This window comes from Homo sapiens, chromosome 12, assembly GCF_000001405.40.
Source record: "Homo sapiens chromosome 12, GRCh38.p14 Primary Assembly".
NCBI lineage: Eukaryota > Metazoa > Chordata > Mammalia > Primates > Hominidae > Homo > Homo sapiens.
Genome location: NC_000012.12, coordinates 30,830,815 through 30,856,376, shown reverse-complemented (window position 1 = coordinate 30,856,376; position 25,562 = coordinate 30,830,815). Strand labels below are relative to the sequence as shown.

Below are 25,562 nucleotides of genomic sequence, written 5' to 3'. Positions count from 1 at the left end.
CCAATGTCTTTTTTTTTTTTTTTTTGAGATGGAGTTTTGTTCTGTCGTCCAGGCTGGAGTGCAGGTGCGGCGGCATGATGATCTCGGCTCGCTGCAACCTCTGCCTCCTGGGTTCAAGCCATTCACCCACCTCAGCATCCAGAGTAGCTGAGACTACAGGTGCATGCCACAATGCCCTGTTAATTTTTGTATTTTTAGTAGAGATGGGGTTTCATCAGGTTAGCCAGGCTGGTCTTGAACTCCTGAGCTCGAGTGATCTGCCTGCCTGGGCCTCCCAAATTGTTGGGATTACAGGCACAAACCTCTGCCCCTGGCCCCAATGTCCTTCTTGATGGACTCACTAGCATAAAACTCCTTTGTTAGCTCACCGTTACAGGGTTCATTCTCAACAATTGCTATTATAATTTACACTTTTCAATAGTCGCTAATTCAATGTTATAACTTACAATTACAACAACTATTGTTACCATTTGACTCAGAGGGGTTCACAAGAGAAACAAAGATGGGGTGACCCTCTGGGGCCCAACCTTAATCTGATGGTAACCAAAAAATGGTGCCTTCTACACTGGCTTTGCTGCTGGGTAAATTCACTCTCAGCCACCCATTTGCTCTACTGTGTGAAATTGTTGCCTTAATTTTAGAGCATTTATTGTTTTCAGTGGGAATTAGGGGCTTCAAACAGGGCCAGAAATGGAAAGGGTAGTCATGGCAGGAATATGAATTGGGCACCATGGTAGTGTGGAGAGAGCACTGGGTGTTTGGACCCCAGGACTCTAATCCTGACAGTAATGTTTAATTATGGGACCTGGAGCAGGTGGCCAATTCTCTGTGCCTCATCTTTCTGCATCTGGAAAACAAATACATTGGTCTTTATATGGGGGTACCCACACAGGCCACCAAGGTGCAAAATGAAGATATTAGACTTTATATGGATAATTATGCTATCTTTAAAAAAATCTATCTGGATAGTGACTGGTTCCCTACATCAGGCAGTCATGGCACATAGATGTTACTGAGGGAAGGAGGGGGTTCATTATGCAAAAGTGTGGACAATGGCCTCCTGACTACTTTGTTAGCTTTCATATTGCAATGTTTTGCAGTTTGCTCATGCTCCATTAAAATGTATTATCTGGTTTGAACTAAACTAACCCTCATGAAATGGATGAGTGACTTAAAGATTCCTGCAAAGAACCACCATGGCACACATTTACCTAAGTAACAAACCTGCACATCCTGCACATGTATCCCAGAAATTAAAATAAAGATTTCTGCAAAGAAATGGGTAGGTTGAAGAGAACAGTAATTATACAAAGACAAGAAAACAGCAAGCGAATGTCAGAATCAACCCTCCTGTGCCTGGAATAATCTCTGAATCAGTGTCACTATTAGCTAAAAACAATGAAGACCTAATTGGATCCAACAAGAAGTTGTCTTAAAACCCCCAAATTCTCTTTTTATTTTTAATTTTTTAATTAAATTAATTTTTTTTGAGACTGAGTCTCACTCTGTAGTCCCAGCTGGAGTACAGTGGTGTGATCTCAGCTCACTGCAACCTCTGCCTCCCAGTTTCAAGAGATTCCCCTGCCTCAGCCTACTGAGTAGCTGGGATTACAGGCACCTTCCACCATGCCTGGCTAATTTTTTTTTTTTTTTTTTTTGTATTTTTAGTAGAGATGGGGTTTTGCCATGTTGGCCAGGCTGGTCTCGAACTCCTGACCTCAGGTGATCCACCAGCCTCGGCCTCCCAAAGTGCTGGGATTACAGGAGTGAGCCTGGCCCCCAATTCTCTTAAGATATGGATTTCTTCCTCTTACTAACAATACACTTTGTTCAGTGTGCACATTGTGCCTTTGCCAGTTATCTTTTTCAGCTCTGACAACCATTAAAAGCAAGCCTGAATATAAATGAAACTTTCGAAAAAAAAAAAGAAATTGAACTTTTGAATTGATGTATGAAAAGTCTGGTATTTGAGATATTTGAATTGATGTATCTCAAAGAATAATTCCAAGGTTTTTTAAAAAGGTGCAAATTCTACCACATTGCTCTCACTACAAATATGATTATGGATAATATTTTAATGAGAGCAGACATTTTTATGTAATTAATAACTAAAGGTGAATATGTTAAGAACTTTTTAGTTTTTATAGCATATTTTAAAAAGCATTTGTTTCATAGTGAATATATTAGTAAGTACATACATGTATTATATAGAAAGAAATACCTCCTCCGCTGTCTGGCTGTGTGACCTTGGGCTAGTCTAGCAGGGTCCAGAGGACTCAGTGAGAATGACAGAATCTGTACCTCGTGGGCTGGGCAGGGGTTCCAGGGGCGCTGGAAAGCGGGGTACTGTGGAGCCCTGCGGGACGCTGTGCCCCACGGGGTCTGTCTGGGTGTGGAGGCAGCTGTCCAGCCAGCGGAGGTGGACCCGGCCCGGAGCTCAGACAAGCATGTCGGTTCCCTGAGAATCCCTTGGCTAAAGGCTGCCCTTCCCAAGCCCGCCCTCTCCCTGCAACCCAGTTAAGCCATATCCAGGGGTCCTGGTGCCTTGCGACCCCACAGGGCCTCAGGAGTCTGGCGGTTTCCCACACCTTTGCACTCATGCACCTCATGGGTGGGCGACAGGTAGATCAGACCCTCCTAGGGCTCCAGCGCTCCTGGCCCTGCGGGGTCAGAAATAGGGCCTGTGTCTGCACCCTCCTCCCTCCTGGACCTTGCAGACAGCAGCGAGCCCCAGGCGCAGTTCTGCCCTTCTACCCGGGTCACGGGGATGCTGCCTGCAGCCCTGCCTCCTGGAGGGGCCCACTTACCACAGACAGAGGCAGGAAGGACATGTTTTCCCCTTTTTGGTTCCAGGGGTGATGTCAGGTCGAGAGGCGGCTGGTCTTGGCAGTGGGATGTATGACCTGCCGGCCTCTACTTGCACCCTTTACTGGACCCCACAACTGTTAGCCCTGGGCCCCCCTCACCCCTCCCCTGCAGCAGCCACAGCCTCCTGATTCTCTGACCCATTCTTCAAGACACAACCAGAAAGCCAATGTGATCAGATGAGACCTTCCCTTAAAGCCCTTCACAGACCACCTTATCACCCAAGTAAAGGCCCCCTGCCCCATCCAAAAAAAATATGTATATGTCTGTGTGTGTGAATATATGTATGTGTATATATGTCTGTATATGTATATGTATGTATATGTATGCATACATATACATACACATGTATGTGTATGTGTACGTATATGTATATGTATGTATACATGTACATACATATATACACACACATATATGAATAATGTGCTCTATACTTTTTACTGATTGAAATATCCAATCAAAGAAGGGTGACAACGTAGATTGGGTGGTTGTTGAGCAGTCTTTTGGTGGTGATAGTCTCCTTGGAATCTGTTTCAGAAACCAGGCACAGTTATAGGAGAAGCTTTTTGGAATATATTAAGATCAAACACTTAGTAATGATTTTTAAAAGATCAAGCATCGTTTATTGAGACCAACAAATAACTTTCACCTTTTTACTACTGTGGAACATAAAAATATTAACGGAGGATTTTTTTTCTATTTTAAATGTCCCTCACTGCTGAACTGCTCATAGATATTATGTTTTTAAGGGAGTAGTGGAATTAATCATTAAATGCAAATTTACTACTTATATTTCCCAGAAAGTATATCATGGGAATTACAAATAATCTCCATTTTCTAAAATTATCCTCAAATTTATAATGCTATCAGGATGTAAGGTGAGTTAAAGTACAATTGCATTTTTTTAAAGTTTTAAAAACTAAAACTGAATGTAGATAATTCCAAAATATTTTGAGAAGGCCTCCTCAGTGTTCCATGATTTTGACATGTGTGGTTATGTGGAGGCTCAGTGAACCCGCAGGGTAACACACTTCTATTTTTGGATGGAGGCATGCAGGGAGAAAGGATGAAAAGGACAACGCAGCTTTGATAGGAAGCCTGCTTTTGGGGAAGGGATGGTCCACTCAGGCTTCCTGGAGGGTGGGAGTTCTTCCTGCCCAACATTGCCCCTCGTTTTCCCAGAGGAGCTTAAAACCCCAGTGAAAAAGCCACAGTTCCTGGAAAGTGTTATGGATCTGATAGCATTACATTTTATAAGCTATTAATACCCAAATTCACCATGTCCAAAAATGAGTTCCTTAATGACTAAGCCCCCTATCCATCACTAAACCAGCTTTGTCTCTCTATCAAAGTAAATGGCCCTGATATGGCTCCAATGACTGGAGGAACATCAGGTCCTTGGTCTCATGCTGATTTAGATAAAATGACATGGACACATGCGGAGTGGTTTAAGGAGCGGATAATTTAATAGGCAAGAAAGAAGAAAGAAGAAAGAAAGAAGAGAACAGCTCCCCTGTACAGAGACAGAGGGAGGGCAGAAAAGTGGTCGGTTATATGGGAGGCTGGAGGAGGCAGTATCTGATTTGCATAGAGCTGTAGGGTCCAGCCCTACTGGGTCTGTGGGTTTTTCTCCTGGTGTGCGGAGATGAGAGGTCGTAGAAATAAAGACACAAGACAAAGAGATAGAAGAAAAGACAGCTGGGCCCGGGGGACCACTACCACCTAGATGTGGAGACTGGCAGTGGCCCCGAATGCCTGGTCGCGCTGTTATTTATTGTGTACAAGGCAAAGGGGCAGGGTAAGGAGTGTGAGTCATCTCCAGTGATTAATAAGGTCATGTGAGTCACGTGTCCACCGGACAGGGGGCCTTTCCCTTTTAGGTAGCCGAGCTGGAGAGAGGACAGCTTACGTCATTATTTCTTCTATGCTCTTCTCAGAAAGATCAAAGACTTTAATACTTTCACTAATTCTGCTATTGCTATCTAGAAGGCGGAGCCAGGTGTACAGAGCAGAACATGAAAGTGAAACAGGAGCGTGACCTCTGAAGCACAGCATCACAGCGAGACGTTTAGGTCTCCGGATGGCTGCGGGCGGGCCTGACTGATGTCAGGCCTTCCACAAGAGGTGGTGGAGCAGAGTCTTCTCTAACTCCACCGGGGAAAGGGAGACTCCCTTTCCCGATCTGCTAAGTAACGGGTGCCTTCCCAGGCACTAGCGTTACCACTAGACCAAGGAGCCCTCTAGTGGCCCTGTCCGGGTGTGACAGAGGGCTCACACTAGTCTTCTGGTCACTTCTCACCATGTCCCTTCAGCTCCTATCTCTGTATGTCCTGGTTTTTCCTAGGTTATAATTGTAGAACAAAGATTATTATAATATTAGAATAAAGAGTAATGCTATAAACTAATGATTAGTAATATTCATATATAATCATATCTATATTCTATGCCTAATATAACTATTCTTATTTTAAGTATTTTCTTTATTATACTGGAATAGCTTGTGCTTTTAGTCTCTTGCCTCGTCACCTGGGTGGCTTGCCGCCCACAGAGGGCCCAGGGGATTGGTTTGACCAGGTGTGTCATTCACGAAGCCCGTGAAAAACCCGGCCCTCCCACCTTATCCTTTTAATGTGCAAATGTGGGCCGCTCTGATGTCCTGAACACATGCAGTTACCTGGAGGTGGCCATGACACTTGGCATACCTGGTGACAAGAAGAAGGCACGAATCACCATATTGGGTGGACTCAGCTTCTAATGGCCTGCGTTTGCATATCAAAGCTTGCCAGCCTGGCCCTTTAATTTGCCTTTCTGTTAGAAAAGAAATGATTTGGCCAGGTGCGGTGGCTGATGCCTGTAATCCTAGCACTTTGGGAGGCTGAGGTAGGCGGATCACTTGAGGTCAGGAGTTTGAGATCAGCCTGGCTAACATGGTGAAACCCCATCTCTACTAAAAATACAAAAAAAAAAATTAGCCAGGCTTGGTGGCGGGCACCTATAATCCTAGCTACATGGGAGGCTGAGACAGGAGAATCACTTGAACCAGGGAGGCAGAGGTTACAGTGAGCCCAGATTGCACCATTGCACTCCAGCCTGGGCGACAGAGTGAGACTGTCTCAAAAAGAAAAGAAAAGGTCTGGGGTTGCTTTTATTAAAAGAAAAAGCCTTACCGAGAATTCCTTTTACCCTTTCTATCTGCCTAAAAATTATTTCTTAGTAACTCCTGTATCATTCCCCCGCTCAAGAGAAGCAAACCTAACTGCTGTCAGGGGGTGTTGGATGGCGATTCTTTCTGGCTACTTCCTGCTGAAAAGGGGTATTGTGTGGGGAACAGCAGTTGTGCCTTCTCCTGAGGTTTATCTAAGGGTTCTTGGAAGAATGGCGTGACCATGTGTAAAAAGTAAAGTAGAGGTTCCTCTTCAAAGACTTTCCGCCCCGTCTAATAAGAAATAAATAGTAACTTCTCTTAAAAGCAAAATTTATTCAAAGACCTGTGCTAACATTCTTAAATATCTGCTAGCCATAATAAAGAAATCAATGTAATTTATGTTCTTAGCTCCCACAATTTAGCCTAAATATTTGCCCTGGCATGCTTATACTGGTCCAAGCAAGCATTAGATCATAGTCTGTTCCTCTTCCTTATTTAAAAGTGTTTTTACCTTTCCCAGCATTCCACAAGTTACTTCCTCCTTCTTTTGTTCTCCTCTACCTTTGCCTCTTTTAAAAAGTTCTAAGTTGCTAGCCAATCGGGACAAATACAGAATGTGAGGTCCCATTCCAGCTATTGGAAACTGGACACAGCAGTAGGGTGGACGCGTCAGGTTATAAATGACCCTGTCTCCTTTGTTCAGTGTACTCTCCTGGCAAAACTGCTGGCGAGTGTACCCTTTCTGCAAGAAGTAAAAATGGCCTTACTAAATAAACTGATGCTCAAGTGCTATTTCTTTACAAGCATTTCAAACACGTGTGGCTTTGCTCGCAGCACCGTTTGGAGTTTGATTGCTTCCAGGTGAAAAGAGATAAATTTTATAAGAAAATTTAAAATATAGGGTTAGAATGTGAGTATTAAGATTACCACCGTGAGTGGGGGTCCTATAGACCCTGAGTTTCATACCTATTAGTTACACCATGGATTGCAATACCAGTATCTCGCTGTACATTACCAGAAACATTAATATAAAAGAAACATTTTCCTTGAGAAAACCATACATTTCCCCTTTGACTTGCCATTAGAGAATAACTTTAAGCTTAGGCCATTTTCCTAACTTGCAATATGCTTGGGAGAAATACATTAGTGGGTGGCTAAAATAACTTTAATGTTAATCTTGACAATTCCTTTCCTTTAATAATTTCATGACTTTCACAGACCCTCTTACAACATACTTAAACTTTCTGACTTGCCCTAAGCATTCATCCTTTAAACAACCAGTCATTTCCTTTTAGGACAAGTATTTACCAATGAAAATCTTTTCTTACATAAAATCTTCCTTTATAATCTTCTCTTTATAGCTTAGAGCACATTATATTACCAACCTTCAGAAAAAGTCCTATTAAACGTAATGATAGTAAAACTTTCATCCTTGCTTCTTATCCACAACTATTACTCCTGCTATAAGCGACACAATTTTGACTAAATCTTTCCTGCAACTATCAATCCTGTTATAAGGTTGATAATTAGGCAAAATATTACAGCAATTAGAATTTTACAACCAGAATTCCACATCTTGGGTGCTACAGTGTGTAGTTCTATTGTAAATAGTAGCGTGAGTATAACAGTTCTTACAAGAGTGGCATAGTGAATAATTTCCATTTAAAACTTTACTTACCAAGATATAACATTTCTCTTTGGGGAGCTACAAAGTTACAAATGCGATTCTATGAATAATTAAAATCTGCCTGCAAATATGCTTTAAAAAGAAGTTTTAATATTTGGTGGTGAACTTTGAGAGTAAAGGGTAGAAATAGCAAAAAGTATCTGGTGAGGCAGGAGTGGGACTGAGTAAGATGAGTAGCCCTCACTCAGTTACTTATCTTTTATGATTTTCAGCTTAAAATCTTCTCTTTCTGGCCCGGCGCGGTGGCTCGCGCCTGTAATCCCAGCACTTTGGGAGGCCAAGGCGGGCGGATCACGAGGTCAGGAGATCGAGACCATCCTGGCTAACACGGTGAAACCCCGTCTGTACTAAAAATACAAAAAAAAAAATTAGCCGGGCGTGGTGATGGGCGCCTGTGGTCCCAGGTACTCCGGAGGCTGAGGCAGGAGAATGGCGTGAACCGTGGGGCGGAGCCTGCAGTGAGCGGAGATCGCGCCACTGCACTCCAGCCTGGGCGACAGGGAGCCTCCGTCTCAAAAACAACAACAACAACAAGAACAACAACAACAACAACAAGAAAAAGAAAAAGATCTCTTTCTCCGCATTGATATTCAGGATATTTCTCTGGGCTGTTAGGGGCTGCTCCCTCAGCTCTTCAGGCTTTGACTTGAGTGTGATGTATTTAGAAGTCGATTCCTGTAACTTTTACTGCCGAGGGGGTTGAAAGAAGAACAGTGTAGGGCCCTTCCCAGCTTGGCTTAGGGAAGGAGACAGAGATGAGAGTTTGTACTAATACCAAATTTCCTGGGTTAAATAAAGGTGATCCTATTTTATTTCTGTAGGGGAATACTGATGTTTAATTTCTTTTTTGGAGCCTTCCTAGATTAGAAGGGCTTGAAGTGCATTAATGCCTTAAAGCTTCCTTGCCTCTGACTTAGCTTTGCCTGATTAGCCATTCTATTTCCTTTGGCTACCTTATCTGTTTCCTTTTGATGTCCCCTATAACGCATGACTGCTATTTTTTGTGGAAGAAAAACTGAGGATAATAACCTGCCAATTTCCTGGCAATATTTTATAGGAGATTCATTAGTGGTAAGAAAATGCCTTTCCTTTTGAATCGCAGCATGAGTATGGAGAGTTAAGAAAGCATACTTGGAGTTAGTATAAATGGCAGCTACCTTCCCCTTGCTTAATTTAAGTGCTCTTGTAAGAGCTATTAGCTCAGCTAATTCAGCACTTGTGCCTGGGGAGAGACGTTAAGAGTGACGACTGCTTATCCTGCCTTATGTACTTCTTGCTTTACCAGCTGTTTGTTAGCTAAGAGCTCCCCCTAGAGGACAGTAATCCTCACACATTATGTGAAGTGTAAACAGTTAAATTATTTCCTAGGGTTAACTTGGAGGCTTTTCTGACTAGTAGAGTTATTATGACTTGGAAGCATGTGTAAATAGGTCCTCCTAACTACAACTATGGTTGAGAAAAATATTGGATTAGAGTTTTTCCTGAGACACCCCTTACGGTCGTACTATGGGAAGAGGAGAGGCCTGGATTAGAGAGGAGAAAAGGGAGAGACTGGCTCTAATGTTTAGAAGGAGGTCTACTTTCCTTCCTTTAATTTCCAGAATTAGCCGGGGCTCCTGTGCTATAATGGCAGTTTGAGCCACTGAAGCCAGGGTTTGAGCCCCAGGACCCATCAGTCCTGCGGGACCATCTGTGAGACTGGTCCTGAACCCAGTGGCCTCCATCTCTGGGGGCAGTTCCATCTTCAGTGGTCTCTGCCACAGCCTGGACAGGGTTGAGGTGGCTTTGTCTTGCTTCCTGGGGGTTCCTTTTTAAAATGCCCTGGGCTGCCGCACCAATAGCAACTAGCGAATGCACCTTGGGGATCCTGGATTTTGCAAACCTGCAAAGCAGCTGCTAGAGCCTCTGTCCTTCTCTTGAGCTTTCTCTCTTTCTTTTGGGCCTCCTCCTGGTTCCTGTTACAAAAGACCAAAGTGGCTACCTTCAGGAGGTTCTCTAAGGTGCTATCTGGTCTTATAGCCTGCTTTTGTATTCCTTTTAATATCGGGAGCTGCCTGTGTAATAAACGTGTCCTTTAGAATGAGCTGTCCCTCGACTGAATCAGGGTATAAAGAGGTGTACTTTATTAGTGCCTCTCTTAGCCTTTCCGTAAAGGCTAGAGGATTCTCATCTGGCTTTTGGTTTATCCTAGACAGTTTAGCGTAATTGAGAGGTTTGGCCCTGGTCTTCCATAGGCCCTTTAATATACATCTTAAAATGTGCCTCCTTTTCCATTCATCTCTTGAGTTATTGGGGTCCCAATCGGGGTTGTTTACCAGAACTGCTTCCCTTCCTAGTGGGAAAGGAGTCTACACGATTTTTTCGCTTTCCCTATCTGCGTTCTTCCCTTTTGGTATATTATAGGAGATATATTGCTCATCCCCGAAATCTCTGCTGCTTGCAGAATTGCCTGCTTTTCAGCTGCTGTGAGGGTATGGTTTAGGAGCAGCATAACATCCCTCCATGTGAGGTGAAACACCTGAGTTAAATTTTGGAAAGCTTCTATATACCTATCAGTGTCGTTAGAAAATCGGCCTAAGTTTCGCTTTATTTGCTTAAGGTCTTGTAATGAGAAGGGAACTTGAAGGGGCCCAAAATAAGGGGGATCCTCAGATGGTTCCCCTGGAAGTTGCTTTTCTAATTTGGGGGAACTGTTCTCCCTGGGCCTGCCCGATGTGATTGCTAAAAGACCTGGGTTGATCTTAAAATGCTTGCACGGGTTTTGTAAAAACACCATGCCCTTGTGTAAAAGAAAATGAGTCACTTATTTCTTCAAAGTCCTGAGGTTAAGGAAGTTCCAGTGTTTCAGAGTGCACTCCAGCGGGTGCAAGCCAAAGATAATCTGTTTCCCATCTAGAAAAAGAAGCAAGAATAAAAGCGTCCTTTTAGTCTCCTCCCTTTCCGTATGACCCAGGGTGGAGGAGGAGACAGGGAGCATCCTCCCACTGTTTTCCCTCCCTGCTTCCCGGGTCCTGGCACCATGTTAAATATGCGACCCATGGCTGTAGGCGTGGTCCTCCAATCCATCCATGGTCCTCCATCCATGGAACTGGATGAACTAAGTGATGGGACTAACCACACTTTACCCATGCAGCTTCAGCTTATCCACCTTGTGTGATTCCCCTTTGACTTCCTAAATCTGTGTGATCCCCCTGGCTCCCCGAAAAATGGATCTAGGGAGAGACTGTGTCGCCTTAGGGCAAGGCTCCTTTAACGGAGGCAGTGTGCTAGATTGCCTGCTACTATGGCCCGTGCTAAAGCATTTACTCTTAGACAAATGGTTCCGGTTAACTTCTGGACTTAAAATCCCCTTACTAATTAAATATCATTTTAATCGGAGACAGAATAGTTTCCTTAAAAGAACATAGGAACTAAATGGCCATTTTTCTGCTGATGGGTCAATATCGTGACAAAATTTGGCTGCAGAAGACATCTTACTCCTAACTGCAAAAGGCAGAAATTTCCCTTTTACAGAAGTAGATCAGAGCCTAGCTTCCAGTAGAAAAGGCGCAAAAAGGAAAAGTTGGAAAGCTGTAATATACTGCAGAGAACCAGCAATGTGTCTTACGGAGAGGATTTTTTTCTTTTCCTTTTTTTCTTTTTTTTTTTTTTTGAGACGGAGTTTCGCTCTTGTTGCCCAGGCTGGTGTGCAATGGCGCCATCTCGGCTCACCGCAAACTCCGCCTCCCAGATTCAAGCGATTCTCCTGCCTCAGCCTCCTGAGTAGCTGGGATTACAGGCATGTGCCACCACGCTCGGCTAATTTTGTATTTTTAGTAGAGATGGGGTTTCTCCGTGTTGGTCAGGCTGGTCTCGAACTCCGTACCTCATGTGATCCGTCCGCCACGGCCTCCCAAAGTGCTGGGATTACAGGTGTGAGCCACCGTACCTGGCCAGAATTTCTATTTCCACTAGGTGGCGCTATTGTCTTAGGAATACCATGTCTTACCAGCGAATTAGTAGCAAGTAACCTCACCACGTGGTGGGGAGGTGGTGGTGTGGTGGGGGAGGTGGCATTGGGGGGATGGCGTGGAGGGGTGGGAATCTCTGTTCCTAGAAGATTGCAAGGACATTTTCCTGAGCTATATCCCCAGTGCTACAGCATTTCCTGATCTTGCTTAACAGGATTACTCCCTTAGGCTGTAAAAATTCCTGCACATTCTACACACACAGAGAGAGTAAGAGACCACGGATAGAAAGAGAAAGAAAGTTTGGCGACAGAATAGCAGGAAGAGAGCCTTGAGATTAAAGGACAGATTTGAGTTTGAGATTTGCTCCACTCTGTACTCACCAATCCGTTGAATGAATTCCCGGCCAATGCACCAAAATGATATGGCTCCGATGACTGGAGGAACACCAGAGTCCTTGGTCTCATGATGACCGACATGGACACAAGTCTGGAGTGGTTTTAAGGAGCAGAGAATTTAATAGGCAAGAAAGAGGAAAGGAAGAAGAAAACAGCTCCCCCATACAGAGACAGAGGGAGGGGGATCCAAGCAAAGAGAAACCCTGTGTGTGGCAGAAAAGTGGTTGGTTATACGGGAGGCTGGAGGAGGCGGTGTCTGATTTGTATAGGGCCCAAGGGATTGGTTTGAACAGGTGTGTCATTCACGTAGCTGGCAAAAAACCTGGCCATCCCAACTTAGCCCTTTAGTATGCACATGCGGGCCTGCCATGATGTCCCAAACATGTGGAGTTATCTGGAGGTGCCCATGACACTTGGCATACCTGGTGACAAGAAGAAGAAGGTGGGAATTGCCATATTGGGTGGACCCAGTTTCTAATGACGTGCATTTGCATATCAAAGCTTGCCCGCCTGGCCCTCTTTAAGTACCTTTCTGTTAGAAAAGAAATAGTTTGGAGGTTGCTTTCATTAAAAGAAAAACCCTGACTGAGAACTCCTTTTACCTTCTCTATCTGCCTGAAAATTATTTCTTAATAACTCCTGTATTAGCCCCACCATCCACCCAGAGTCACTCAGGCCAAAACCCTAGAGGTCCACCCTCGATTCCCTTCTCCCGTTTAACTCACATCCAATCCACCATAAAGTCTTGTCGAGATGACCTCTAAAGCATTTCCCAAATGGATGCAGCTTCCTCCCTCTCCACTATGTCCAGCCTGGTGAAAGCTACCATCACATCCTGCCTGGAGTACTACAGCAGCCTCTTGCTTGGCCTTCATATTTGTATTCTCTTCCCCTTTCGGGTGTTCTCCATAGACCATCTGGAGGTTGTCTTTTTAATCTAAGTTGATCACATCACCCTCCTGGTTAAAAGCTTCCAGGGGCTGTCCATCTGATTTGCAAAGAAATCCAGACCCCTCTCCCTAGAAGCTGCATAGGGCCTGGGTCCTGCGGACCTTGCCAGTGCCTGCCCTTGCCTCCCTCACCCCTCCTGGCAGTAGGCTTCAGCCATGGTTGTCTTTGTGTCTGTCCCCTAAGTTTGTTCCTGCCTTAGAGACTTGTATAAGCTTCCTCTTCTGCAATGCATGCCCCTGAAAGACAGTTAATTTCTTTTAATTGCCTGAGTTTAGCCTAAACATCATCTCTTTAGGCCCAAACTAGAGGTCCTCCCATCATTCACCTATCACAACTCCTGATTATATTTTCAATACATTATGTACAAGGTGATCTAAAAGTTTTCATGCATTTCTGTACTTGTATAGGAATGGCCAGTGATGACAGGTTCATCTTGACCAGTGATGAGAGTTTCCAGTTCTTCTTAGTCAGGAACCCAGATAAGGATTTGGGTTAATTTCCTTTCTTATCAGATGTGCCATGGAGCTTTTTCCCAGTCATTTTGGATCAAGCGAAGTCCTATTCCCAGATGCTTAGTAAACATTACTGTCCTGCATGCAATACCATCCTGGCCCTCCTGCCTCTAAACCAGGCATTATCTCCATCTGACTCTGCCATCTTGCTTTTTGTACTGTTTTGGCCTGTAGACCTCTAAGGGGATGGGCACCAAGGCAAAGGTCACTTGGCTTAGGTAATATCCTTGGGACCACTCTCCTTAGTAGCCCTGGAACTAGCCTTGCTAGGGTAAAATCCTAGGAGGGGCAAGTAGTTGTCCTCCAAAGCCACCCACTTTTAGTCTTTTTGCAAAACCTTCTTTTCTAGTCATATTCTCGATTTCTTCTAGACATGTTTTGTGATCAGTAAGTGTTGAGTGAAGGTATTGGTCAAAGGGGAAAATTTAGAGGTCAAGTCTATATCAGAGGGAAAGGGAAAGGCACCAAGAATATGCCAGTTAACACAATTTCTATTTAAGGGGCTAGAATGATACATTTAGGAGAAACAGCACAGGCTTCTAAACATGGTAGGACAAGAGAGTCAAACAAGAAGAAAACCCAGGCTGTTCAGTGGTGGGTTTGTCTTTGTCCAATATTAAGATTGAGAGCTTCTGACCAAGCTGAGGAAAAGCTAGATTGAGCTGCCTGGCATGTTCTCCCCTGGATAGCCTGGCAGCAGACACCCCCTGTGCTATGGCATTGCAAGGAAAAGACAGTGGGTAATTAAAGCCCGTGGTCATCTGGAGCTCAGCCACCTTGTGGTTCCCTTGGTTCCCTTTGGGGAAGGTTGGGGAACATGGGGAAGGGAGGGCTTTGTACCACAGAAAGGAATGGCTGGTAGGAATGGGAGATTTTGAGTGAAGCATAAAAAGTTATTTGGAGCCATGGGTTGGAGAGAGCCTCTAAGCATGGGGACCTCCTGCTCCTGCTTTTAATCAGACCAAGAGGGTAAGTAATAGATCCGGAGTTATATCCACATTGTCTCATGTGGCCTCCTCATTGTCATTGCTGCTTAAACAAAATGGGCATAGGGAGAGGGAAATGTTCATCCTCCTTGTGCCTCGGGAGGGTGCCGGGGTAGAGTGATCTTGGCAGCCTGTGGCTTCGTCACTGCCTCCCATGGGAGGACTGGGCCTGCCCAGAGCACAGAATAGTAATGGGTTGATACTATGCCTTTTTTATTTTTCGTCTCCAAACACAGGTGAATCACTTTGATTTAAGTTTCTTATAAAATGCTGTATCAGCTACTACTAGTTAAATGAGTTACTATTTGTCAAGAGCTTAGAACAGCACCTGGCACTGTCACATATTAATTTAGTAGCAATTGTCACCATGATTGCAGCTGTGGTGTTTCAGGTACTAACTTCTGGCAGCCTGTATAGATAATCAGCTCTCAGTGTTACTCCGGGGAATCAGGGCAATGCTTATCAGCTCAATTTGCCTGATGGGCTTAAAAGACATGAAAGGGAAAAGGTTGAGGGAACCGCTCCACATGCAGTTATTTGTTCTGACCAAATATCCGACATTGGTGCCTTCTGAAAATGAAATATGCTCCAATGGCCTCATGTACACATGCATGTGTTGCATAATGTGTGTGAAGTGTACCTCTGTTACTGAAACAGGATCCTATTTATTGACAATGGTGAAAGAAACATGAAGACGGTATTTATTGGGTCGGCTATGAGGTCATCAGACCACTTAGAGCCATCTCTGAGCCACCTAATACCTGGCCCCATTGATGGGGGGGGGGTCCCATATGATTCCACTTGGATTCAGAGACTAGGTTGATAAGCCTTCACAGTCAGGCCTCCTACTGAAATAGAATACTTGTTTTCTAGTCACAACCCTGCTAACCGAAACAGGATGCAGTCCAAACAGGTTAAAGTTAAAAAAAACAACAAAACCAGCAGATGGTGACAAAATGATTGCTAGCTGACCTCATTGCTCACTTGCATTAGACACTCCCACCAAGCGCCATGACAGTTTACAAATGCCATGACAACAACTCGGAAATTCCCACTCCTTTCCATGGCAACAACCTGGAAGTTACTGCCCTTTTCCTAGAAAGGTCTCAATAACCTGCCCCTCAATTTGCATTGACCCATCCTTTAACTTGCATATTATTAAAAGTGGGCTTTTGAGAGTATAAATATAGTTGACGAGAGTCCGTACACTGCCAACTCTAGGTGCACTGCTTATGAGTTAGCCCTACTCTGCAAGGAGCAGTACCAGTCAATAAAAGATTGCTAACACAATCGGCTCACCCTTAAATTCTTTCCTAGGCAAAGCAAAAATCTCTCCAGGGCTAAGCCCCAGTTTTGGAGCTTGCCTGTCCTGCATCACTACCATCATCCTGGAACACGAGGAAAGGAAAGCCAAGGCCCTCCTGGGGACATAGGGCTCCCTCCGCACACCCACCCTCACACCTCCTTGGGCACAATCACTGCCCGCCTGTTCCTTGGCCCATAGATGTTCCCGAACCCCGTGAGTGAAGTTATACCACTGGATTACTGGCAAGAGGGATTTAAGCCCAGGTCCCTAAAGTAAGATCCTGTGTTAGGCTGCCTGTCTCTGAACCACTTCACTTGTAAGGACAGGCTCGCTTTCTCTCTCTGTACTCAAACATTCGCTCCTTTACTGTTTGTCCCTGCTCTGCTCTGAGAGTCTCATATCAATTGGCTCCTGGGGCCTCTTACTTCTCTTGATAGTTTTCTTCCCTGTTTGCAGAATCCCCTCCACCTGCAGACCAGTGTGAGCTGGCTCTCTCCCCGCACTGCCTCAGCCCCGCAGCCTGACTGCCAGCAGAGTCTCACTCCGGTTGCACTGCCTCAGATGCCTGCTGTTCTGGGCAGACACCTGCCCAGGTTGCCGCCAGCCTGCCTTGGCGCTCTGAGGGGTTCTGGGACCCAGGTCCCCTGTCTGGAGACTTGTCTAACCCTCTTTAATTCCAGGGGTTTCAGTCAGGCTTCTACTGGAAGCAGAGTCCCAGCTGTGTGTCAAAGAGGCTTCTTCTGCCACCTACCAGTGCTTGTTGGAAATGCCAGATTCCCCCCGGGGACCCCTGAGTAAATGCCAGAGCATCTTTTGGGTCATTTCAACCTTTGATGAAGGCTGCTGGTGGGATAGGTGGGCATGGATTACTATCATAAAGTGTTCTCTTTCTCTCCCCTCCCCTCTTTTATTTGACGTAACTAGCAGGGTTTTCCCCTGCCCCCATGTGATTTAGAACAGTGTACTCACTTTTCAGAATGGCATTGATCTGCTCTTCTGAAACATTGAGCCATCCTGACCAGCTCATTTGGTGGAAAAAACAATTTCACATGCGTGGCGTGACCTAGCCACACAACCCGTTTCTGAACCACGTGGAGTCCTGGGGGTTCATGTTGATGAGCCCTGAGGGGGTGAACTTTCCTCCTCCTTTGGCCCCCAAGGACCACAATGGCCCACAATGGCCGCTCTGGGCATTCCTTGGGAGCCAGAGACAGAATCTGCACAAAGACAGAAAAGCACCTGGAAGGCAAAGGAGTGACAGGAACATTTCACTTTGTATCAAGATGTGAGAGCAGAGTTTCGTTTTTGTTTTCCAAAACAGGTACTTTGTCTCCATACACCTGAATTATGAACCAGCCTATTCTCTTCTAAAAGAAGAATAGATACTTGATGTTATCAGAGCTGCTAAGTCTTGATTTTTTAAAAATCTTAATTTTATTGAGGGACATTACATTTATTTTGTTGGGGGGCCATTCTAGTCTGCTTTCATTTTCTCTGCCCGCTTTCATACCTTCCTGAAATACACCATGCGGGTTCATACCTCTGGGCCTGGGCTCATGCTCTTCCCGGTGCTGGGGCAACCCCTGCTCCCGAAGCGCCTCTCCCACTCAGTAGCCAAATTCCCACTCATCCTCCAAGACTCAGCGCAGACATACATTTCTCAGGAAGCCCCCCTTCTCCCCTTTCCAAGGGGACAAGACCCCTCCCCACTGACCTCCTATATCCCATGCATACATCTCCCTTCTCCCTACCCATGTATCAATCAAAATTTCAGCTGTGTCTCTCTTTCCTTCTACACAGTAAGCTTTTTGGGAATAGTTGGTGAATTTTAATCATGGTTGCATTGCTCTCAGTCATCACAAACCTTGACACGTCATTGATGCTTAAGTTGGCGTTGTTTACCCCTGTGCTGTCCTCTTTACGTTATTGCATTCTAGATACTTTCCTTGCTTGAGAAGAAACTACATGTCCTTGGGCACACCTGCATGACATTTTCTTACTGTTTTAAAATTTTTATTTTTGAGACAGGCTCTCCACTCTGTCACCCAGGCTGGAGTTGCAGTGGCAGAATCATAGTTCATGACAACCTTGACTTCCTGTGCTCAAGAGATCCTCCTGCCTTAGCCTCCCAAGTAGCTAGGGCTACAAGCACATGCCACCACACCTGGCGGTTTAAAAAAAAAAATTTGTAGAGATGGGGTCTTGCTGTGTTGCCCAGGCTGGTCTCCAACTTTTCACCTCAGGCAGTCCTCCCACCTCAGATTTCCTTACTTTTATAGTGGTTAATATGTGAGGCTGCTCAACACATTTTGTTTTGTAATGTCTTTGCTCTATTGTCTGTATCAGCAGTTAAACTTTTTGGTCTCAGACCCCCTCAATAATCTTTTTTATTTTGAGACAGGGTTTTGCTCTGTTGCCCAGGCTGGAGTGTAGTGGTGCACTCATAGTGATCATAGCTCACTGCAGCCTTGAACTCCTGGGCTCAAGTGATCCTCCCACCTCAGCCTCCCGAGTAACTGGAACTGCAGGTGCACACCCTATGCTTGGCTAATTTTTAAATGTTTTGTAGAGACAGGGTCTTGCTACGTTACCCAGGCTGGTCTCAAACTCCTGGGTTCAAGCAATCCTCCTGCCTCGGCTCCCGAAGTGCTGAGGTTAGAGATATGAGCCACCACATGTGGCCCATAGATGGAGCTGCCCAGGGAGAAGGATTAGGAGAATGAAAAGTCCATACAGCGCCCCTGATCTCGGCTGCCCCTGTCCTCTTCTCAGACTAACACTTCCATCACAGGCATCTATATTCTGGCAGAGGCTGTTTCCCCTCTGCCACCAGGAGGCTCCTCGGGGGCAGTGTGTGCAGATGTGCTTTGTCTCGTAGTTGGATGATGATCATTCCTGGGCTGTGGGACCCTAGAGCCATTCAGACTAAGGTATACATCTCTTCCAGTTCTCCATGTGGCCTCTGAAAAAAGAGTGATTAACTGTTCTGTTTAAATAAAGTTTCGGTGCCACCAAAGAAATAGTACTCGAATATAAAATTTTCCTCTTAATTCTCAGCAAGGCAAGTTACTCCTACAGAAGGGTGCACCCTCACAGATGGAGCAATGGTAAGAGCACACTTGGACAAGGGAGGGGAAGGAGTTCTTATCCTGGATGCACGTGGCCCCTGCTGCTGTGTCCTTCCCCTATTGGCTAGGGTTAGACCACCCAGGCTAAACTAATTCTGATTGGCTAATTTAAAGAGAGTGACGGGGTGAGTGGTTTGGCAGGAAAAATGGTTATGCAGGGTGGAGAATGAGTTCGGGTGGAGCAGGTGGCAGGTAATCGGAATGAGTCAGGGTGGAGCATGTAATCAGAATGAGTCAGGATGGAGCAGGTGATCGAAAAAGGTTGCTTTGTGAGGAAGTTAAGTTTAAAAGTAGAAGGCAAAGAATTGAACATACCGACATATTGATTCTTTGGAAGGAAATTTAGAACTCATATCTAACAGTTCCATGGCTCATCCCCAAAACAAGTCTCCAGGCTTCTCAGATTCAGCTTCGGTCATTAAGTGATTCTCTTCTACAAAGAGGGCAGGAACTCATCTCAGCCTCCAACCCCATCCAACATGCACCTTCCCAGTGATGGAGGGGAAGAGCTCCCTAGAGTGTGCAAGGCACACTCTACAAGGACAAGGCAAGAAGGGACGAGTTCTTAGTCTGGAAAGTCTCTGGCTTGCGTGTTGGGGTGGAGTTTCCAGAGCACAGAGTTTCCCCTGCAGCTATGAGTGAACGGTAGGAAGGTGGGCAGAAGTTGTGGAAGCAACTTTGGAAAGTCCCTGGTGGGTCACAGGTCTGGATCAGAAAACAAGTGCACGAAGGGAAGGCAGAGAAACTGGGAGAGACACCGCATAGGCAGCAGTTAACCAAGAAAATAGATGGCAGATTAACCCAGTGTCAGGAAGGTAAGTACAAAAGTGTGTGAATAGATAGATAGGCAGATGGCATGGATATTTAGTCTAAAGGTGGACTAGCAGACAGCTGGTCAGTCAATTGACTGGGATGATGAGTTGGTTGTAATAACAAAGGTGACTGCCTAAGCTATCCCAGAAGGAGGTTTAGGACACCATCTGAGGACCATGTCAGACTTTGGGGCCAGTATCCCCAATCCTTCCCCATTTTCATCTCATTTTTCCTGCCTTGCCCCTTTACCCCAACACTAACACTATATCTTCAATTCTGCCCAGATCACAGTTCATAAGATGTGCTCAGGATACAAGAAATGGGTTCTAGCAAACTGTTTAGAAACTTGAGGTACTCATATCCCAAGTCACACTTAGTTTCCAAACATCATCAATCCCCCAAAAGAGAACTCCTGGGCTCTGACCTGGAATCCTTCTTTCCCCATTCCCCAACCTGAAGCATGTGCTCCTCACCATTGTCCTCTGGTAATTGGTGATGATATTTGTCACCTTCTAGCACAGTGGAGTTGACATCTTGTTCTTTAAGATGTCTTTGTTTTGACCTCTAGTAACTTGAAGGTTCCTCCAAAATTGCTTTCCAACAAATATAGAAGAGAGGGGATTCAAGAAGAAAGGAAGGCTAAAGGGAGAGAATAAAGAGAATGATGATCCTTGGTGGAGAAAAGAAGAGGAGCTGATCTAGGGAGAGGATTAAAGCTGGACCATGGCTTCAGGGGAGCAGAAGGTATGGGTCAGTCTCAGGACAGGTGACCAGACCTGGAGCTGGGAATGCACTGGACCAAGTAGTGCTCTGCTGACAGGATTTCCTCCTGGGTATGTGCCCAGCCAGCTACCTTGATGGAGGCGGTCTACCTGTTACCAATAGAAGGTGTCTGAGTTATTGGCGGTGAATCCATTGGGTCCGCAGCAACTTCAATTCTTGCCTTCTCAGAAGAATTTGATGGAGGGATATAAAGCAGAAACAGAGACCAAGGAAAGTTTCAGAGAAGGAGTGGAACTTTATTAAAAAGTCCTTAGAACAGGAAGGAACACTTGGAAGAGATCCAAGTGGGCAATTTGGAGAACAAGTGCAAGAGCAGTGATTAACCATGAGCCTAGGACTTCACAGGCTCACCTCTTTCCCATGATTCTTCCCTTAGGGTGGGCTGCCCGCATGCACAGTGAAATCCTTACCCTTTGGAATTGAGCATGCGCAGTGTGTTTAGGAAGTCCTATGCATGCCCATCTGAGGCTTTCTTCCTGTTTCCAGTGGAGTGTACCCAGGAGGTCATACTTCACCATTTTGTCTCTTAATTTGCATGCCTAGGAAGTTGCTTTTTCCAGGGTCTGCATTCAATTAACACTTTAAGGTTAACAGCTGTGGATCCTCAGGAGGTTGTCTCTCCCTGGCGCTCTCGCCCTGCTGCTGAATTATCATTTTTAGGGAGGCAGTGTGATAATTGTCGAAACATCACATTCCTAGTGAGTGGTGGAGAAGAACCCTCTTCTGCCCTGCTCATGCCTCTCTAACTACCTGTAACATACCCTGGCTGGAGCCAGGAAGGTGTCTGAGATGCCCTCATTTTAGCAGCAACTTGTAGTGCCTCCATAAAGTTGCCAATGTTCCTTCTGGAGAGATATCCTTTTCATTGTCTTCTAAGGAACCTAGAAGAACTGTAAATGTCCCTGTAAGGAATAAAGATGGAGGGGAGTGTTTCTCTCCTGCTGGAGGTGGGAGTTTCATTGGAGGTGTTTTATCATGGTGGGGTGAAAACATCAGAAAACTTCAGTTTGGCTTCCAACACAGACTCTGCCCCTCACTACCAACTATCCTCAGGTAACTTGCTTAACTCCTGGGGCCTCCATTTCTTCACATGCGAAATAAGTTCAATAAAAATTAACATGAGAATCAAGAGATGAAATCCGTGCTAATAGATATCAACTTTCAGGATCTCAGCCTGTTCTTTGGGCTACATCTTTTCACTTGAGGTCATACGTGCATCTTATGGGTAGTAGAAAGTTGTAGGGGTGAGGGGTGCTTGTCCACAGGTCTATGAATAATTGATTACCACTAACTACAAACTCCTATCACAGTCACATGTACCTTTTGTTTAGTTAATAGTGATAGAAAAGAAAAAACACAGCAAATTAATTTAGGCAGGGCTGTGTTTACAACCAGTCACATTTTTCTCCCATTTTAACATCGGATAGGTCTGAGAGTGGTCTATCTCTCTGAGCGGTCTCCTCAGAAACTGCCCAGGGGATTTCCTATCCAGGGCAAGAAGCTGGGATAGGTGGCCTCTTCTGGTCCCTTCCAGCCCTCTACGGTAACTTAAGGCTGCACCTCTTAGTTAAACAGGAGAGTTCCCTGCTCCCCCACCAACCCTGTGCAGGATATGCCACACAGGTGTGGCTTGTCTGGCCGCCACTCAAACCCCTTACGGGAGGGAGAGCACACAGACAGGCAGATGCAGGAGCTGAGGTGACTGCTTTTGGGATTTGGCCCCATGGTGGCATCTAGGGGTGTGTGCCTATGACTCTCAAAGTCCCAGTGGGCATGCTACAGTGCTCTTTTAGCTCTACTGCCCATAGATGGCTTAAGTGTTAACCAGCTCAGTGTCCTCTTGATACCCGGGTTCTTGTCTGGCATCCAGGAAGAATCAGGTCACACATGGACTTGAAGGATGGTGAATGCGGGGATTTTATTGGGTGATGAAGGTGGCTCTGAGAGGGAAGGATGGGGCGCTGGAAAGGGGATGGAGTGGGATGATGATCTTCTCCTGGAGTTTGGCTGTCCCATGGCAGATCTCTCTGACTGTCCCCAGCCGAACTCCTCTCGACATTCGGATGCTCCTTCTTTTCTCTCCTTCTCCACTGCGTCACTCTTCTGCTCCCCTGCTCTTTTGTTCATCTTCTTGTCTGCTTGTGAAGCCTGGGGTTTGGGGTTTGTATGGGTACAGGATAGGGGGGTGTGGCAGTCCAAAAGCAACATTTGGCTTGAAAACAGGAATGCCTGTTCCCATTTAGGGCTGTGGGCTTCCAGGCTTGGGGGTGGGGCCTTTGCTGGGGAACTACCCTCTTCTACCCAGTATTTCCCTGTCTCCTGTCTGTATCATTAGGACTGTAATGTGCAGGGCAGCTATGTGGACTGGAAGCACCTTGTTTCACAATCCTAGGAAGAAGGTCTGCTGTCTTCTGGGCCTCTTCCCAGGACCTCTGCCTCTCCAGGTTTGGCTTCCCAGTCCCTCACCAAAGCATTAGGTTCATGAACACCCCGTTGTGGCTTCAGCTGGAGGTGGAGGATGGAGGTGAGGGAAGGTGCCTTCCAGCGTGGGTGTGGGGGCGGAAGGCAGAAGTGGATGAGAACCCTCAGACAGGACAGAAGAAGGGGTAAGCCAGTTCAGAGGTGGGTGCTGCCCTCACTTCTGCTCTGTCCCCCACCTCCCTAAAGTGAATGGACTCACCCACTTTGCCCTTGCCAACCTGAACAAAGAAAGTGCCATTCACCTAGCTGTGAGGTGGGCTTTTTGTGCATACATGAGAACGGGCTGCCCAGCCACCACCTCAGGGTGCACAGAGGAGGTGGGGCACAGCCTGCTCTCTGGGCTCTGTCCTGAGGACAGACCTGGACAAGGGCCTTCACCTCTGACCCCTCCCAGCAGGGGAGGGGAGGGTGTAGAGCTAGATAAAACCAGTGTTTGCTGTTTTAATTACCTCCCTCTAAGGGCATTTTCATATGAAACTTTGTTCTATATTACATTAAGGAAGAGTGATTTTTAGAGGAGCTGGGGGAGGAGGCCCCAGGGGTTTTCTTCTCCCCACAGATACATCTGTCAGTGAAATAAAACACAGCGAAGCACTCAGCACAATGCCCGGCACATCGTAAGTGCTCATTGAACATCATAACCCTCTCTTCCATTGCAGTTGGTAAAAACAACACTCAGGATGCTTCAGCCTGGTGAAGAAGGAAAATAAAGCCCAAGTTCTAGCTCTGGGGCCTTGTCCTCTATGTGGCTGCTCAAGGATAAGGGCAGGTCTGGCTCCAGGATTGCTCTTGCTCAGAATGGGCCAGTATGTCCTGTGGGTCGTGGTCCCTTCAGAAGTGGTGTTGCCTGCCCTCTGCCATTCTGCGTCTTCAGCTCAGCCCACTGTGTCTTTCCAAAGCACAGGCCATATTCTTCTCCTCCCGTTCTACCTGGAGCTCCCATGGCTCATCTTTCCTTCCAACTGGGGGGGTAGTGATATAGTTTGGATCTACCTCCCCACCCAAATCTCATGTTGAATTGCAATCCCCAGTATTGGAGGCGTGGCCTGGTGGGAGGTGACTGGCTCATGGGAGTGGATTACTCACGAAGGTTTAGTCCCATCCCCTTGGTGCTGTCCTTGTGATAGTGGGTGACTTCTTGCAAGATCTGGCTGTTTAAAACCATGTGGCACCTCACTCTTTCTCTCTTGCTCCTGCTCTGGCCATGTGACATGTCTGCTCCCCCTTCATCTACTAACATGATTGTAAGTTTCCTGAGGCCTCCCTGGAAGCCAAGCAGATGTCAGCATCATGCTTCCTCTACAGCCCACAGAACTGTGAGCCAATGAAACCTCTCTTCTTTATAAATTACCCAGTCTTAGGTATCCCTTTATAGCAATACAAGGACAGACAAATACAGGTGGGTAGCCCCGAGAGAGCTCTGCCCCTCCCCTGTCTGAGTGTCTCAAAGCCAGGATCTTTTCCTGGTACCCTCAGGTGCTTGAGGATAAAGTGGCCCCCAGCATGCAGGGTCTATAGAAAGAAAGATGGAGGGAGGTACTGAGCTGAGCACTGCTAGGAAAAGGAAGAACACTTAGCTCACACCTCAAGAAGTTGTGACTAGGTGAGCAAAAGCCCCCATCCCAGTGGGGAAAGTGTTACCTCCCAAGGCACATCCTGGCATAGGAAGATCTGGAGCTCAGGTGGGATTCAGGCTCAGCAGGGCCTCAGGCTCACTATCCTTTGCTCAAAGACACTATCAGAAGAAGATATCAGGAACTTCTCAGCTGTGCCAAACAAAGGCCCAAAGGCCCAGCTGTCTACAATGGAGGGGAGGGACAGCCTTCTCTCTAGGGCCACACTGCCCTATATCGTATGGCCCAGGACCCTCCTTTCAAGTTGGTTCTTTGCATACTCAAAGCATCATCTCATCTGTTACTATATTTGTGACTCACAAGAAGCTTTTGAGTCAGGCAGGGCATGTGTTAACCCAATTTCATAGAAAGGGAAACTGAGGCATAGGGTGGGCTAAGTGATTTGGGCTAGAGTGAGTGGGGGTCAGAACTCAGATCTTCTTGGATCCAAATCAGACACCCTTCTCCCACGTAAAACCCTCACCCTAATCTTAACACTTTTGTGGCTCCATGGCTTCCTCAGTGATTTTAGGAGGAAAAAGGCCACAGCAAGTGTGTTGGTGTGCACATGTGCATGTGTGCCTGTGTGCTCGTGTGCATGCCTGCATGTGTATGTGATGCCTTACTTGCTGAGGGAAGGGCAGGAGGGTTGGCAGTCTCTGATTTTTTGTCTGGATCTCGGACATTTTACGTGCCACTCCTGAGACAGCCAGAGACCTGTAGTGTGTCAGGACAAGGGGTCTCAGGAGGAGACATGTGAAGTAAGGGTGAGTGAAGACCCTGAGTCCCACAGGGAGTCCAGCCTGTTCCCCACAGAGATGTGAGCTCTGCAGTCCTCTGCCCAGGCCAGCCAAGGTTTGGGGAAGGGTCTGGGGGAGGCAGGGGCAGATCCATGGAATTTCTCCTCTGGACATGATTTTGGGAAGAAGAGGAGATCAAATATTATA

The 25,562-nt window shown here is 46.1% G+C and overlaps 3 annotated features.

Moving 5' to 3' along the window:
* Window positions 4,696-5,045: an enhancer, noted in NCBI's record as "active region_6160". NCBI's record gives its function as "activates an Ori minimal core promoter by ATAC-STARR-seq in GM12878 lymphoblastoid cells {active_cell/tissue: GM12878}" and the evidence as "EXISTENCE:reporter gene assay evidence [ECO:0000049][PMID:35858748]".
* Window positions 7,494-8,038: an enhancer, noted in NCBI's record as "H3K4me1 hESC enhancer chr12:31001273-31001817 (GRCh37/hg19 assembly coordinates)". NCBI's record gives its function as "activates a minimal SCP1, AML or CMV promoter by ChIP-STARR-seq in primed H9 embryonic stem cells {active_cell/tissue: H9 hESC(primed)}" and the evidence as "EXISTENCE:reporter gene assay evidence [ECO:0000049][PMID:30033119]".
* Window positions 18,425-19,624: an enhancer, noted in NCBI's record as "BRD4-independent group 4 enhancer chr12:30989687-30990886 (GRCh37/hg19 assembly coordinates)". NCBI's record gives its function as "activates an origin of replication core promoter dependent on BRD2, P300/CBP, MED14 and CDK7 cofactors, and independent of BRD4, by STARR-seq in HCT116 cells {active_cell/tissue: HCT116}" and the evidence as "EXISTENCE:reporter gene assay evidence [ECO:0000049][PMID:35650434]".